The following is a 14,072-nucleotide window of genomic DNA, read 5'->3' as shown; positions in this document are numbered from 1 at the left end:
AGTTCTTGAGTGAACTTGAACCGTATATTCCTAAGGGTTTGAGAATAGAGTTTATTCCTGATTGCCATCTGGAAAAGTCTAAAGATAACTGTCTGGCATGAAGAACTGTGAAGTATCTGAGATTTTACCCAGTTTGCAAACTAACAGTCTAGCCCGCCTCAGCTTAATAGATTCTGGCAAAAGACAGAACACTTCTGGGTTGGTGACAAAGAACTTTATCACTTATGGAATACAAGACAGCATGATCTTCATAACCTTCATGAGTGCACCAGTTCTCAGTTCTCCATGCCCACAAATCCCACAAGGATGATGAAGAGCCAAGGAACCCAGAGCGTATAAAATCCAGTCTTTTCTAATGGGGTGCAGGCAAATAGGCCCACCCTTTTCCCTCTAGGAAGGTATCTATATTACACTGGCCAGAAGACAAATTTCTCCTCTGCTCTGGTGGGAGACACCATCTCTACCCTTCAGTGCTGTTCACCATACGAATATCCTTGGAAAGATAGTCTGAAGCAAAGATCGTTAGAGCCTCTCCTCACAACAAATGCAGGAACACATGAGACTCGAGGACAGTTGTCTCCCAACAGCTGAATGGTGTTGTCCCTCATGCAGGAGGAGGTGTCAAAAGCTGAGAAGTCAAAAAATGTTTAATTTTGATTGTCAGGATCAAGACAAAGCAGACATTGAATATGTTTAGCATGAAGTTGATTTTCCTAAGTGGTAGGAGTTGTATCATTTCCAATTCCTGCATTAAAGATACAAAGCTTCCCAAAGATGGCCTGTTCCCCAGTTTCCAATAGGAGATATGAGAAAATGGAAGATTGTAGCAGCAGTTTTATTTTCAAGCCAATATAAAAGGATCTTTTTCTACCAAAATATTTCTTTGATAAACAATTTAAAGCTTCATTCTACAAGATTTGAAACATCAACAGGCAATTTTCTTAGTTGAGTTTTTTGGATTTGAGTTATCTCTCTGAGAGACAGAAAGGAAATCTCTTATTTTTATTATTTTTAGAGACTAGGTCTCACTCTGTCACCCAGGCTGGAGTGCAATCATAGCTCACTGCTCCCTCGAACTCCTGGGCTCAAGCGATCCTCCCACCCCTGCCTCCCAAGTGACTAGTACTGCAGGTGCATGCCACCACACTCAGCTAATTTTTTTAAAATTTTTTGTTGACACAGGATGTTGCTATGTTGCCCAAGCTGGTCTCAAACTCCTTGCTTCAAGCAATTTTCCTGCCTTAATCTGTCAAAGTGCTGGGATTACAGGCCTGAGCCACTGGGGAAATCTTTGAAAGAAGGATAATGATATGGAAACCCATTTTGAGATGCAGAACAGCTCGAGAAAGCCATGGGTGATATGAGGGCCCTGGGCACTAAAGGGCCAAGGGAAGAGAGGAAACAGGGAGAGACCCACTGCAAACCAGGCAAGATTTTGTTGTTTGTTTGTTTGTTTGTTGCTACCTCTTGGCCTTTCCTTTTCTTTTTCCAAAGACTACAGTGAGCAATTCCATCCCAAGCAAGAGCAGTTACTCAGTTTTGTTTTCAGGTCCTTACCAAAAAGTGATGAAAATGAAAAGTTTAGTCCATATAGACGTTGTGGCGCCAGTCCTTTATCTACACCCGTAAGGTGGCTTGTTAGTGATGCTAAACTGGTTTTCCATGAACCTGAAAAAGAAACATTATCACTGGAGTTTATAGAAAACTTTTCAGAATTAACTGTTTCATAGCAGACCTCTGTCTGAGGCTAATTTATAGTATGCCCAAGTGTGCACACACACACACACACTGGAAGACCCTAAGCTCCTTTCATCTGGCCTCCATGAAAAGTGTTGTTTCTTTCAGATGTGATTCCTTCATCAGCAACCCCTATTTTTTGAAACAAAACAGCTTTTTACTTGTTACAGCTCATGCCTTTCTTGTCACGTATACTAAGTCTAGGATAATCCTGCTTGCTGTCTCTTTTTGTGTGTCTTACATGAGGACAATTGCTGCGAATGTGAGGTGTAGCCTCAGGTCTCACACTTGGACAAACACCAAGACCACAGGAACAAGCAAGATGCAGGACAGAATTCCTCAAATACTTCCTTCTGAAAAAGAGAAGGTAAAAAGAAAAGGAGAATAGAAAAAATGTAAAGGAAAATGTATGGTGTTTCGAGGGAAGGAGGAATATATGTTAATGGCAGAAGGAAATTTGCTAGTAATCGAGGAATTATATTTCACATTTCATATTTGTATACAGAGTTCATGATAGATGCAACTGCAAAATTTAATAAAAGAGGTAACTTGATTCATGCACTCAGAGTTCCTAATCTAGTTGAAAAGCAAGCTTTGTTTTTATTTATTTATTTATTTATTTAGAAAAGGGTCTCACTCTGTCGCCCAGGCTGGTCTTGAACTTGACTCAAGCAAACCTCCCACCTCAGTCTCAAGTAGATGGGACTATAGGAATGAGCCACCATGCCCAGCTGAAAGGCAAACTTTTGATACACGCAATTTCCATAAATAGACTCAAATCACCGAGAATCAAACCCACAAGTTCTGTTGAAAGAAAATAGGGTCAGACACCTTTAATCAAATAAATATTTTTGAAAAATATACACTTCACATGGCTCCAGAAAAGCATGAAATTGGAATCTGAATTTAGAAATGAATTGGAAACAATTTCAAGTGGTAGGAAATTCCTAAGTGCAGAAAAGCTCTGACTTAAGAGTACCCCTCTGACTTTCATCATCTCTGTTTCCCTCTAATTGTTCCCTAAATAGCTGTGCATACCTGACAATACCACCTGGCTGTTCAGGGATTACAAGCAAAATGCAATCATTTCCTCCCTTATAAGTGTATTCACAGAATTTTAGATAATTTTTGCTTAATATGTTATATGTCTCAACTTCCGCTTCTGCTTTTTATGTGGTCTTCTGAAGACAATTTGTCTTTTAGGTGAACCTAATGGAAGAATTACAGCATGGGGCCAGGCTGATAGGAACTGTGTCTCAGAAGGCAGGATGGAGTACATCTCCCATTTCACCTCTTCTACCTGTGTGTGGTCAACCTCTGAGGTTATGATTGTACATAAATGGGATCAGGCAATTATAACAACATGTGCTTATTGAAAATCAAAGCCAACCATTAAGTAAATATTAGTAGAAATGTTAACAAATCATTCTATGAAAAATGGAGAAAACAAACAGTCAAAATTTAGATGATCTCACCTTTTTTCCAACATGTTTAAAATGTATCTTATTGGAATATTATAGTTTAAATTGTAACAACCATGAATATTAGATAACAATGACCATTTCTCTTGGGACACTGAGGGTGTCTTCTGTTATCACTCTCATGTTAACAAAAGCATAATTTCAACTTTCATCATGATGAAAAAACAAAGCTAAGACAACCCTAGCTCCCAGATCCGTAATGGACCTTTGAATTAACTTAATAATCAAGTCACAAAAATTTACCCTTATAGAAAGCCAAGTCTTCTTAGCATTACAATTCAATTTTGCCTGCTTTGTTCTTCATTTAAGTGGAGTTTACTTTTTGACATTTTACCCTCAAAACTTTCTTTAGGGAAATTGTTTTGCTGATATTGTATACGCTGTTATTGTCACTACAGGAATATACTACATAGATATAAATCATCATCCTATGCAAACATTACTTACACTCAGCTCTGTCAAGAGAAGAGTTCCCAAGTCAAATACTTCAATAGTAGCAGGTAAGAGTTGATTAAATGTGTAGTAGAAGTAGTAAATTTGTACCTATCCTCCTGATATAACCTCACTGGCTAAACTCATCTCACTGATGAGAGAGGGGGAATCACAACTCCCAGTGGACACATTCTCTGAGCGTCAAATATCCATTATAATTTGGAATCATGTTTTCAAGCAATGTATATTAGAAAAAAACATTCACCTACATTTTCAGGATATCCATACCTAGATTAGTTTTTCTTTCAAGTCCACTATATTATACAATCAAAATCAAAATCAAATTAGGATTCAATCTATTTTTAGTTAAAGATGTTTACAATGTGTTCATGAAGATATTGGTCTTTCTATTGTTATGTCTTGATCAGGTTTAATATTAGAGTTATGTTGGGCTCCATGCAATCAACTGGTGAATGTTCTCTTTTCCTCTGTTTTCTCAAAAGTTTATGTACTATGGGTATTGTTTTCTTCTAGCATGTTTAATAGAATTCACCAGTCAGTGAAGCTATCATGGCCTGAAGTTCATTGTGGAACTGTTTTTATTTATGAATTCAATTGATTTCATGGATATAGGCTTTCTCTGATTTTTCATTTCTTTATGTCACAATTTTGTCTTTCAAAGAATTTGTCAATGTTTTCTAAGTCATCATATTTATTGATATAAAGTTGCTTATAATATTTTCTTATTTTCTTTCTATAGAACTGGTATTATCTATTGCTGCATAAACAAAACCTTAGATGTTTAACAAATATTTAAAAGCTCACTCAGTCAATGCGTCAGGAACTGAAGAGTAGATTATATGAGTGGTCTGGCTCAGGATCGCTCATGAAGTTGTCATCAAGATGTCAGCTAGGGCTGCAGTCATCTGAAGGGCTGACTGGAAGGAGGGTCAGCTAGGGCTGCAGCCATCTGAAGGGCTGACTGGAAGAAGCCTTAGCTTCTTGTTTGTGGTAAGGACATGACAGTTGGCTTCTCCCAGAGTGAGTGATCCAGTGGAAAACATCTTTAAGGCCTAATGTTGGAAGCGACACTTGGTTATTTCCACAGTATCTTTTTGGTTATATTTCTTCTCTCTCTCAATGTGGAGTGGAATACACAAAGGCATGCATACCAAGAAGTGGGAATCACTGAGGTCATCTTAGCTACAACAGAATCTAGAGTGATGTCGACTTCTCTCATTCCTGATATTTGTAATTTGTGCTTTGTGTGTGTGTGTGTGTGTGTGTGTGTGTGTGTGCGCTTAACTGGTCTAGTTAAAAGTATTTTTAATTTTATTGATGTTTGGAATGAGACACATTTTAGCTTTATTAATTTTCTCTATGGTTTATCTGTTTTCTATTTTACTGATTTCTTTATTACTTTTATGTTTATTTCAACTGCTTTGTCTAACTTCTTTAGATGGCAATGTACATCACTGATTTGAGAACTTTCTTATTTTCTAATATACACATTCAAAATTCTAAATTGTTTTAAGGATGCTTTAGCTGCATCCCCCAAATTTTGTCATGCTGTGTCTTTATGCTCATTCACTTCAAAATATATTCTGATTTTCCTTATTATTAGTTAACTGATTTATTGGTTATTTAAAAATGTATTACTCAATGTCCAAATATTTGGGGATTTTTACAGATATCTTTTTATTATTTATTTCCAATTTAATTTCATTGTAGTCAGAAAACAGTCTGTAATACTTAAGTCATCAGCTTTCTAGAGACTTGGTGAATTTATTATGTACACCTGAAAAGAATACATATTCTACTGTTGTTGAGTAACTTGTTCTATAAATATCACATGTCAAGTTGTTTGATAGTATTGTTTAGGTCTTTTACATTCTTCCTGGTATTTTTGGCCACTTGTATCATTTACTGAAAGAGGATTGTTGAAATCTCCAGTTATAATTGTTGATTTTCTATATTTTCAGTTGATGTATTTTGAAGCTCTGTTATTTAGCACATACTTATTTAGGAGTGTTACTGCTTCTTAATGAATTGACTCAAAATGTCCCACTTTATGTCTGGCAATAATGCTTGTCCTGGGCCTACATTTTCTGGATACTAATATAGCCACTCCTATTTCTTCATGAATAGTCCTTGCCTGCTACATCTTTTTCTGTCTTTTAAATATGTCTTTATATTTAAGTAGGTTTCTTATGGACAGAAATAGTGAGTTCTTTTTTTCCAGTCTGACAACCTCTGGATTTTATTCAATTAGTGCCATGTCTTTATTAAAGAAAGATAGAGGCCAGGTGCAGTGGCTCACACCTGTAATCTCGGCACTTTGGGAGGCTAAGGTGGGTGGATCACTTGAGGCCAAGAGTTCGAGGTCAGTATAGGCAACATGGCAAAACCCCACCTCTACTGAAAACACAAAAATTAGCCGGGTGTGGTGGTGCGACCTGTAATTCCAGCTACTCGGGAGGCTGAGGCAGGAGGATCACTTGCACCCAGGAGGTGGAGGTTGCAGTGAGCCGAGATCACACTGTAATTTCAGCTACTCAGGATGCTGAGGCAGGAGGATCACTTGCACCCAGGAGGTGGAAGCTGCAGTGCAGTGAGCCGAGATCATACCACTACACTCCAGCCTGGGTGACAGAGCAAGACTCTTTCTCAGAAAGAGAGAGAGAGAGAGAGAGAGAGAGAGAGAGAGGAGCTAAAATTGCAAACTTGGCAAACAAGAAGCAAAATGCTGCCCACATGGGGGTTCTGCCTCAAGAGATTTAGGAGCGGGCTGATGGTCCAAGAGAAGTCAAGGAGGTCAGGACCTTGCAACATCTCAAAAGGGTTTAATGTGAGATTTCAGGCCCTGAGCCACCAGCAGCTTGGCAAAGGGTGCAGCAAGTGTGGAGATGCCCCAGGGTTTCCTTGAGGCAACTTTTTTTCCTTCCCTCTATACCAGGAAGCTGCAAATTTTTCTGTAAAGGGCCAGAGAGTAAACATCTTAGATTTTATGGGCTGGATTGGACCCATGGAACCTAGTTACTGATACCTGTCCTAGATTATTCCCTGGTCCTGGCCCAGTTATTGGCCTTCCCTGTCTACTGTATTATCTTCTCCCTCATCAAGAGATTCATTATAATTGTTCATCTTATGCATATCTTGCATATTGCAAATCCTCCTCTCCTCCTTGCAAACCTTATAACCTTCACCATCTATTTCCTCCCTATCACTGTAATACTTACTGGTGGTACTGGTAGTTCTAGTGGTGCTTGTGACACGGTAGAGAACTTGTAAATCCTGCAGATCTCCCTTCACAATGGGCTTTTTAATAGACATGACATTACTATTTCTACAAATCTCTAAAGCCAGCTTGGTGGCTGCTATTTCTCCTACTGTAGCTCTGTCTCATGCACTTAAATTTGATTCAGATTAAACCACAGCATATCAGTGATATGAGGGAAAAGTGGGGAAAACAAAGTTAATATGACTCCTGGAGCTCTGGGAGATAATACAGTCTATGGCAGTTACCTATCTGCCTTTTAACTATAGTATTTAGGCCATTTATATTTAATTGATTATCAGTATGGTTGGACTTCAATCTATTATCTTGCTATTTATTTTCTATTTGTCACGCTTTTTATTTGTTTCTTGTGCTTCTGCCTTTTTTGCGTTCAGCATATTTGCATATTATATTATACTTTTTCTCCATCATTGAATTATTAGCTGTTCTATTTCTAATTTTTGTAGTGATTGCTTTAGAGTTTACAATAAGTATCTTTAACTTATAACTGCCTGCATTCAAATAATATCATACCACATTATGTGTAATAAAAAAGCTTTACAACAAAATACTTTCATTTTTCATCTTCTATCCTTGTGTTAGTGCTTCTAGTACATACTTTTACTTCTACATGTGTTATAAATTTCAACATACTTTTTAAAATTTAGACATTTAATTATATATTTTTAAATGTCAGTATTTACCCACATATTTACTACTTGTGGTGGCCTTCCAAGTTTCTATTTGTTCTTATTTTTCTTCTACCTGAGGAAAACTTTAATATTTCTTACAGTACACATTACTGACAGTAAATCTCTCAGGTTTCTTTGTCTAAAAATATTTATTTCTCCCTTATTTCTAAAAAATATTTTTATTAGATGTAGAATTTCACATTGAATTTTTTTATTTCAGAACTTTAAAATTATTACTTCACTAAACTCTGGCTTCCATTGTTTTCTTAAAAGCATGTGGTTAATTTTAACTTTACTTGCCTGTAGGTAATATGTCCATCTTTTTTACTCTGCCTCTTTAAGATTGTCTCTTATCTCTAGTTTTTAGCCTTTTGATTGTGATGTGACTCAGTGTTATTTTATTTCTTTATTATATTTGAGATTATTTAGCTTCATGGGACTATAAACTTGCAGTTATTATTTCTTCAATTCTTTTTCAATTCCACTTTACTTCTGGATCTCTTTTTTTTGTTTGTTTGTTTTTTTGTTTTTGTTTTGGTTTTTTGAGACAGAGTCTCACTCTGTTGCCCAAGCTGGAATGCAGTGGTGCAACCTCAGCTTACTTCAACCTCCACCTTCTGGGTTTAAGCGATTCTCCTGCCTCAGCCTCTGGAGTAGCTGGGACTACAGGTGCATGCCACCACACCTGGCTAATTTTTTGTATTTTCAGTAGAGATAGTGTTTCCCCGTGTTGGCCAGGCTGGTATCAAACTCCAGACTGCAAGTGATCCACCTGCCTTGGCCTCCCAAAGTGCTGGGATTACAGGCGCGAGCCACTGCGCCTGGCCTATGGATCTCCATGTTCTACCACTTGATGTCACAAGTCATCGAGACTTAGTCACTTTTTTTTAAACCTGTTTCTCTCTGTTTTCATTTCAGAATTATTCTCTTGTCATATCTTCAGTTTTACTGTTTTTTACTTTTCCAATGTCTAATCTTCTATGAAGCCGATACAATTAATTTTTCATTTCAAACATTGTGTTTTTCTTTTCTAGAAATTCCACTGATTTAAAACGATGTCTTTCATTTCTCTTCTTATCCGTATTTTTTTTCTGGAAATCCTTAACCATATTGTAATATTGTGATATTATATATATACACACACACACACATATATATTTGGTTTCTGCCCCCAGTTCCTGACACAGAGCTTCAAAAACCCCTGTCGATAGGGGCGCTAGGACACTCTTCTGTTTTCCTATTTGGTCTTTGATTCCAGTTCCTGGTGCTGAGCTCCTAAATCCCTTGAAATTTGCTGGGTGATAGAAGCATCTTTTGTTCTAATGAGGTGACTTTTGGCAGGCTCCAGCATAGCTCAGAATAGGGCCCGACCTCCGGGGAAGAGAGCGTGGCTGAAGGTTAGGTTGATAACTCACGTTAGTGATGTAACCAATTACATCCATGCAATTAAACCTCCATAAAAACCCAAAAGGGGCCGGGTGCGCTGGCTCACGCCTGTAATCCCAGCACTTTGGGAGGCCGAGGCGGGAGGATCACAAGGTCAGGAGACCATCCTGGCTAACACGGTGAAACCCCGTCTCTACTAAAAATACAAAAAAATTAGCCGGGCGTGGTAGCGGGCGCCTGTAGTCCCAGCTACTCGGGAGGCTGAGCCAGGAGAATGGCGTGAACCCGGGAGGCGGAGCTTGCAGTGAGCCGAGATCGCGCCACTGCACTTTAGCCTGGGAGACAGAGCGAGACTTGGTCTCAAAAAAAAAAAAAAAGAGTGGGGTTTGGGGAGCCTCTGGACAGCTGAACACTTGGAGGTGTCTGGAGGGTGGCGCACCTAGAGAGGGCTTGTAAGTTCTGGGTCCCTTCCCACATGTCTTGTCCTATGGATCTTTTCCCTCTACGTATCCTTTGTAACATCCCTTGTAATACATCAGTAAACATAAGTGAAGTCTTTCCCTAAATTTTGTGAGGCACTCTAGCAAAGTAATTGAACCCAAGAAGTGGTTTCTGGGAACGCAAAGGTTATGGATGGCTTGTGATTGGCATCTGAAGTAGGGACAGTTTTGTGGAACCAAAACCTTCACCTGTGGAATCTGACACAGTCTCCAGGTAGGTAGTATCAGAATTGAATTAAATTATAGGACATCCGGTTAGTGTCCGCTGGAGAATTGCTTGGTGTGTAGGGAGAACTCCCAACACGTATTTTGATGACCAGAGGGGAAGTATTGTATTGAGTGGTGCAGGACATTTGTTTTTCTTCTTTTATTTGTGCACAATAGCTCTTGTAAAGTCCCTGTCTGCCACTTCCTGTATCTCTGTTATCTCGGGACCTGTTTCTGCAGAATTTTTCTCCTGATTATGGTTCATATTTTCCTTCTTCTGTACATGTCTAGACAATTTTGATTGAATTATATGTATTATTGGTAAAATAATAGTGGGAATCTAATTTTTTTAGTCTTTTTTAAAGTGTGATGAATTTCATATTGCAGGCCAATGAGTGCTTTTGAGCAGAAAGCAGGAGGAATTGTTGAGCATACCTCATTTGTCCTTTTCTCAGATCACAGATACTATCCATTGTCGAATATCTAAAAAACAGCTCTTTTTTCTATATTTTTTCCAGTTTTCTAGTTGCTTGTGGTGGGAGGTCAAGTCCTATACCAGTCACTTTACTATAGTCCAAAGCAAAAGTCCTAAATCCACGACTGAATTACAATATGAGAAAATAAAACCAATCTAGAAGTCTGGCTTAATATTTATATATATATTTACATATATATATACGCACACTCTGAAGTTTGAAGATACTGCTTCATGATTTTTTAAAATCTGTATGCAATGAGAATTAAAAGTTCCATTTGTGTTTACTTGTAACTTTCCATTCAGTCAGCTATATGGCAACAATGGCATAATGGTTAAGCATATAACTTTTGAGCCAGGACATCTTGGTTAGAGACCCATTTCTGGCACTTATTACCTGCATGACCTTGCATAAATTACTTAATTTCTCTATGCTCTAGTTTTCCATCTGTTAGCCTGGAATAATTATAGCGCATATTTCAAAGAATGGTTTTGAGAATTAACAATGTCATGGGGATGAGTGTCAACATATAAAGTGGCTAGGAAGATTAAAATCTTCATATCTTAGTTACCCATCTGTGAAATTGTGATATCATATTACCTATATCATAGGGGTATGTTGAGGGTTAAATTTTACTTATTAAAAGCATTCATATTTCTTGGAACTTTGTGAGTCTTTTCCAATTTGAGAATTTATTTATTCGATTCTGAGATGAATTTTTCTCTCTTCTGGTATTTCTGATAGTATAACTTTGGGATCTATTTTTACATCTCATTAACCTTTATCCTACTGTCTTCTTTTTAAATTTTTTCCGTAATTTGTTTTCTAAAAACTTATGCTTAGTCTTCTAGGTCACTAACTTACTCTTCAGTGGTATCCATCCTGCTTTTCCAGCTCTTTGGTGCTTTTGTATTCTTTAACTCCCCACTTACATATTTCTAAGCTCCAATTTGGAGGGGTCATGATGCTCAGGGTTCAGATTGGATGATCTGCTTCTCAGAAGATGGCATTAGGAAGCAATAATAACAAAGAACCAGACCGACATACTCTCCTACTCTCTGCCCACTGTCTCTATGTTATATATTCCCCTGTACCCGTTGCCTATTACCAAAATTACATTGCATAGCAAATAACCATAAGCTCTCAGTGGATACAATGATAAACATCTATTGTTTATTTTTTTTCTGGACTTTTTTTTACTTGTCTTGAAATCAGCCGGCTGTGAGTTGAAGCACTGGAGGTGACTTGGCTCTGTTTCACATGTTTCTTATTTTCTGCTGTTTCTACTGCCATGAGAATACGGCTGAGTAGCAGAGGAAGAAGAGAGGATAAGCCTAGTCACTTGAGGACTGTCCGTTTCTTTCTATCATGTCTGCTAATATCCCACTGATCAAAAAAAGTCACAGAGCTGTGTCCGGAGGAGAAATACACCCCATCACAGTCAGAAATACACTGTAAAGTTATATGGTAGAGGGCCAGGATACAGAAAGGGTGAAGGTTAGAACCATGGTTATCAATCTAGCACAGCCTTGAGAACAATGATTAAACTATCAAATAAAGAAGAGGACAAACTTTGAATTGGCTCTTTTTCTAAAACTAAACAGGATTCTGCAAACAGGAAAAAGAAAATACAAGGGAGAATTTAATTCGGTTATAGAAAGAAAAGAAAATTAATTCTTGAACACCTTGATATGAAAATTGACAAAGACATATCTGTTCCTATTGAATATGTACAGCTCTTGTCTACAGAGGGTATCAGTTAAGAGCATGGGCTGTAAAAATCGGAATGTATGGTTTCAAATCCATATTGCTCATGTGACATTGAGAACTTAAAGTATTTAATGTTTAAGCTACATTTTTTAATCTCCAAAATGTGGGTAATATGGTAGTTACCACAATGGACGTTGGTACACTAACTACAGTAGTGTTCAAAAAGTGTTTACTTCCATGTATGCGACATTAATGTAGGCTACATACCTACTGTCCTAGCTACAGGGACATTTATGTAAAGTACCAGATATTAAATATTTCACACTTTGGAAGCCATAGGGTCTCGGTCTCTGTTGTAACTATTTAACACTGCTGTTGAAGTGTAAAAGCAGGCACAGACAACATATAAATGAATGGGCAGGGCTGTGCTCCAATCAAACTTTATTCACAAAAACAGGCAGTGGGCTAGATTTGGCTCATGGGCCATAATTTGACAACCCATTCTTAACAATAATTAGTGTATCTATCACCTCCAATTCCATTTTACATTCCTGGAGTTCAGAAACCATGTCCTTATTTTTCTTGTATTTTGTATCTCCTAACCAGTGCTTAGCACATATTAGGTCCTTACTAAGTGATTTTTTTAAGAATAAAATTATGTATTGAACTCCTATCAAGCACCAAAGCACCAGTATAATGCCTTGCTTATCTACTGAGGTCATTTCTGCCCACTCTTGCTTTTCTGCTCAAAGAGTCAAAAGGAAATGCTACCTATGAGTTAGAAAAGAATGAGCCTGTTATTATAATATAAACAAACCTTCTGCTGCTAAGCTGTGTTTTCTTCTAGGATTTGGATCATTCATGTTTCCTTTGCACCTTGCAGTAGTACTTTAACCTCTTCACAGTGCCACCAGGCCATTTTTTAATCTTCATTATCCGGCTACATTATCTATCTAGACAGGACATGACAAGTTTCCTTGTGTAATCATTTTCCTTTGAACCTAATGGAAGGGTGGGTTCAGTTTATGGCCCTCTAAGTGTTTGGACCAGGATAATTTGTGTGACTCTGCCACGATAATGATGAGAAAAGCAATGTATAATGCTAATGAAGAGGATATCCTGCCCTGCCCTGTCCCCTTCTCTGCCTTCACAAACCCAGCACGCAACTCTGCTTACCTCAATGCATACACCCCAACAGAATTTATGTTCCCAGGGTTCAACCTTTATCATAGGCTTCTATTAAGTTCTTCACCAGGACGTTTTAGAGGGCATAGTAGAAAGTTATCCTCATATTTAATTCTCCTTACAGATCAAGTAAGGTAATTATCATCTTATATAACGATCTTATTACACAAGTCAGGAGAAAGAAGGCGTCAACGCAAAACACCAAATTAGTTCCATTGCTATCCTTGCCAATAAAGCAAAGGCCTTTTAACCCACAGAAATTTTTCTGTGCATGTTCCTTAGGGGAAAAAATATAGATGCCTACATCACAAACACTAAAGGCCCAGTGTCTAGAAGTGTGTGTGTTTGCTTGCGCATGAGAGTGAGAGAAGCTAGAATATAAACACACTTAAAAACCAACCCATTTAAATTGAGGCAGGGCTGGCACCCTTTAACTGATTTGGACCACATGGTAAAAATGACTGCTTGCCTTGTTTAAAGTCAGCGCTTCTGATACTGGCTGTCGATGCAGATTCCACCCCAAGAAGCCAAAACAATGACCTGACAGCTGAGACATTAGGGATGGGTGTTGATGAGAAGATTTCCTTGTATTATTTTCATTAGGTTTCCTGCTTGCCTCATCAATGCTTGACAGATTTGGATGCCAAAAAGTAGAGATTACTTTTATGGAGCATCTCGTAGATTTATTTCCTCTAAAACTTGATGAGGTTTCACCTCAGTGATATAACAGATCCTGGTCTTTATTGCAATTAGCAACAGATGGGCTGGGATGTGCGTAATCACCAAATGCCCTGGGGAAGGTAGTTTGAGGCAAGCTGAGATAAGCTCCTGATCATCTGTGGTCATTGTCTTCCAAGTTCACGCACGATGCCACCCACCACTGTGTTGATATTCCTGTTATCCGTGTTCCGAAGATAGCAATCTTTGTTCCAGGATGTGAATAGGACTTTTTTCTCTTTCATATGGGTAGCCCATGTCTTCAAGTTCTC

The 14,072-nt window shown here is 38.1% G+C and overlaps 1 long non-coding RNA gene across 1 annotated transcript in view; it reads right to left on the bottom strand.

Annotated features, from left to right (window-relative positions):
- Positions 1–257: 257 nt before the first annotated feature.
- LOC124900817 (uncharacterized) overlaps positions 258–14,072 on the bottom strand; it is a 140,808-nt gene continuing 126,993 nt past the window's right edge. The window contains exons 3-4 of the long non-coding RNA XR_007058376.1: positions 1,558–1,668; positions 258–628 (exon numbers count right to left, since the gene is read on the bottom strand). This is a non-coding gene — a long non-coding RNA (uncharacterized LOC124900817). The remainder of the gene's footprint in view (positions 629–1,557; positions 1,669–14,072) is intronic.

The sequence above is a fragment of the Homo sapiens genome, chromosome 4 (assembly GCF_000001405.40).
Source record: "Homo sapiens chromosome 4, GRCh38.p14 Primary Assembly".
In the NCBI taxonomy this organism is placed as follows: Eukaryota; Metazoa; Chordata; class Mammalia; order Primates; family Hominidae; genus Homo; species Homo sapiens.
Note: the sequence above shows the minus strand (reverse complement) of the source record. Positions and strands in the feature narration are given on the sequence as shown.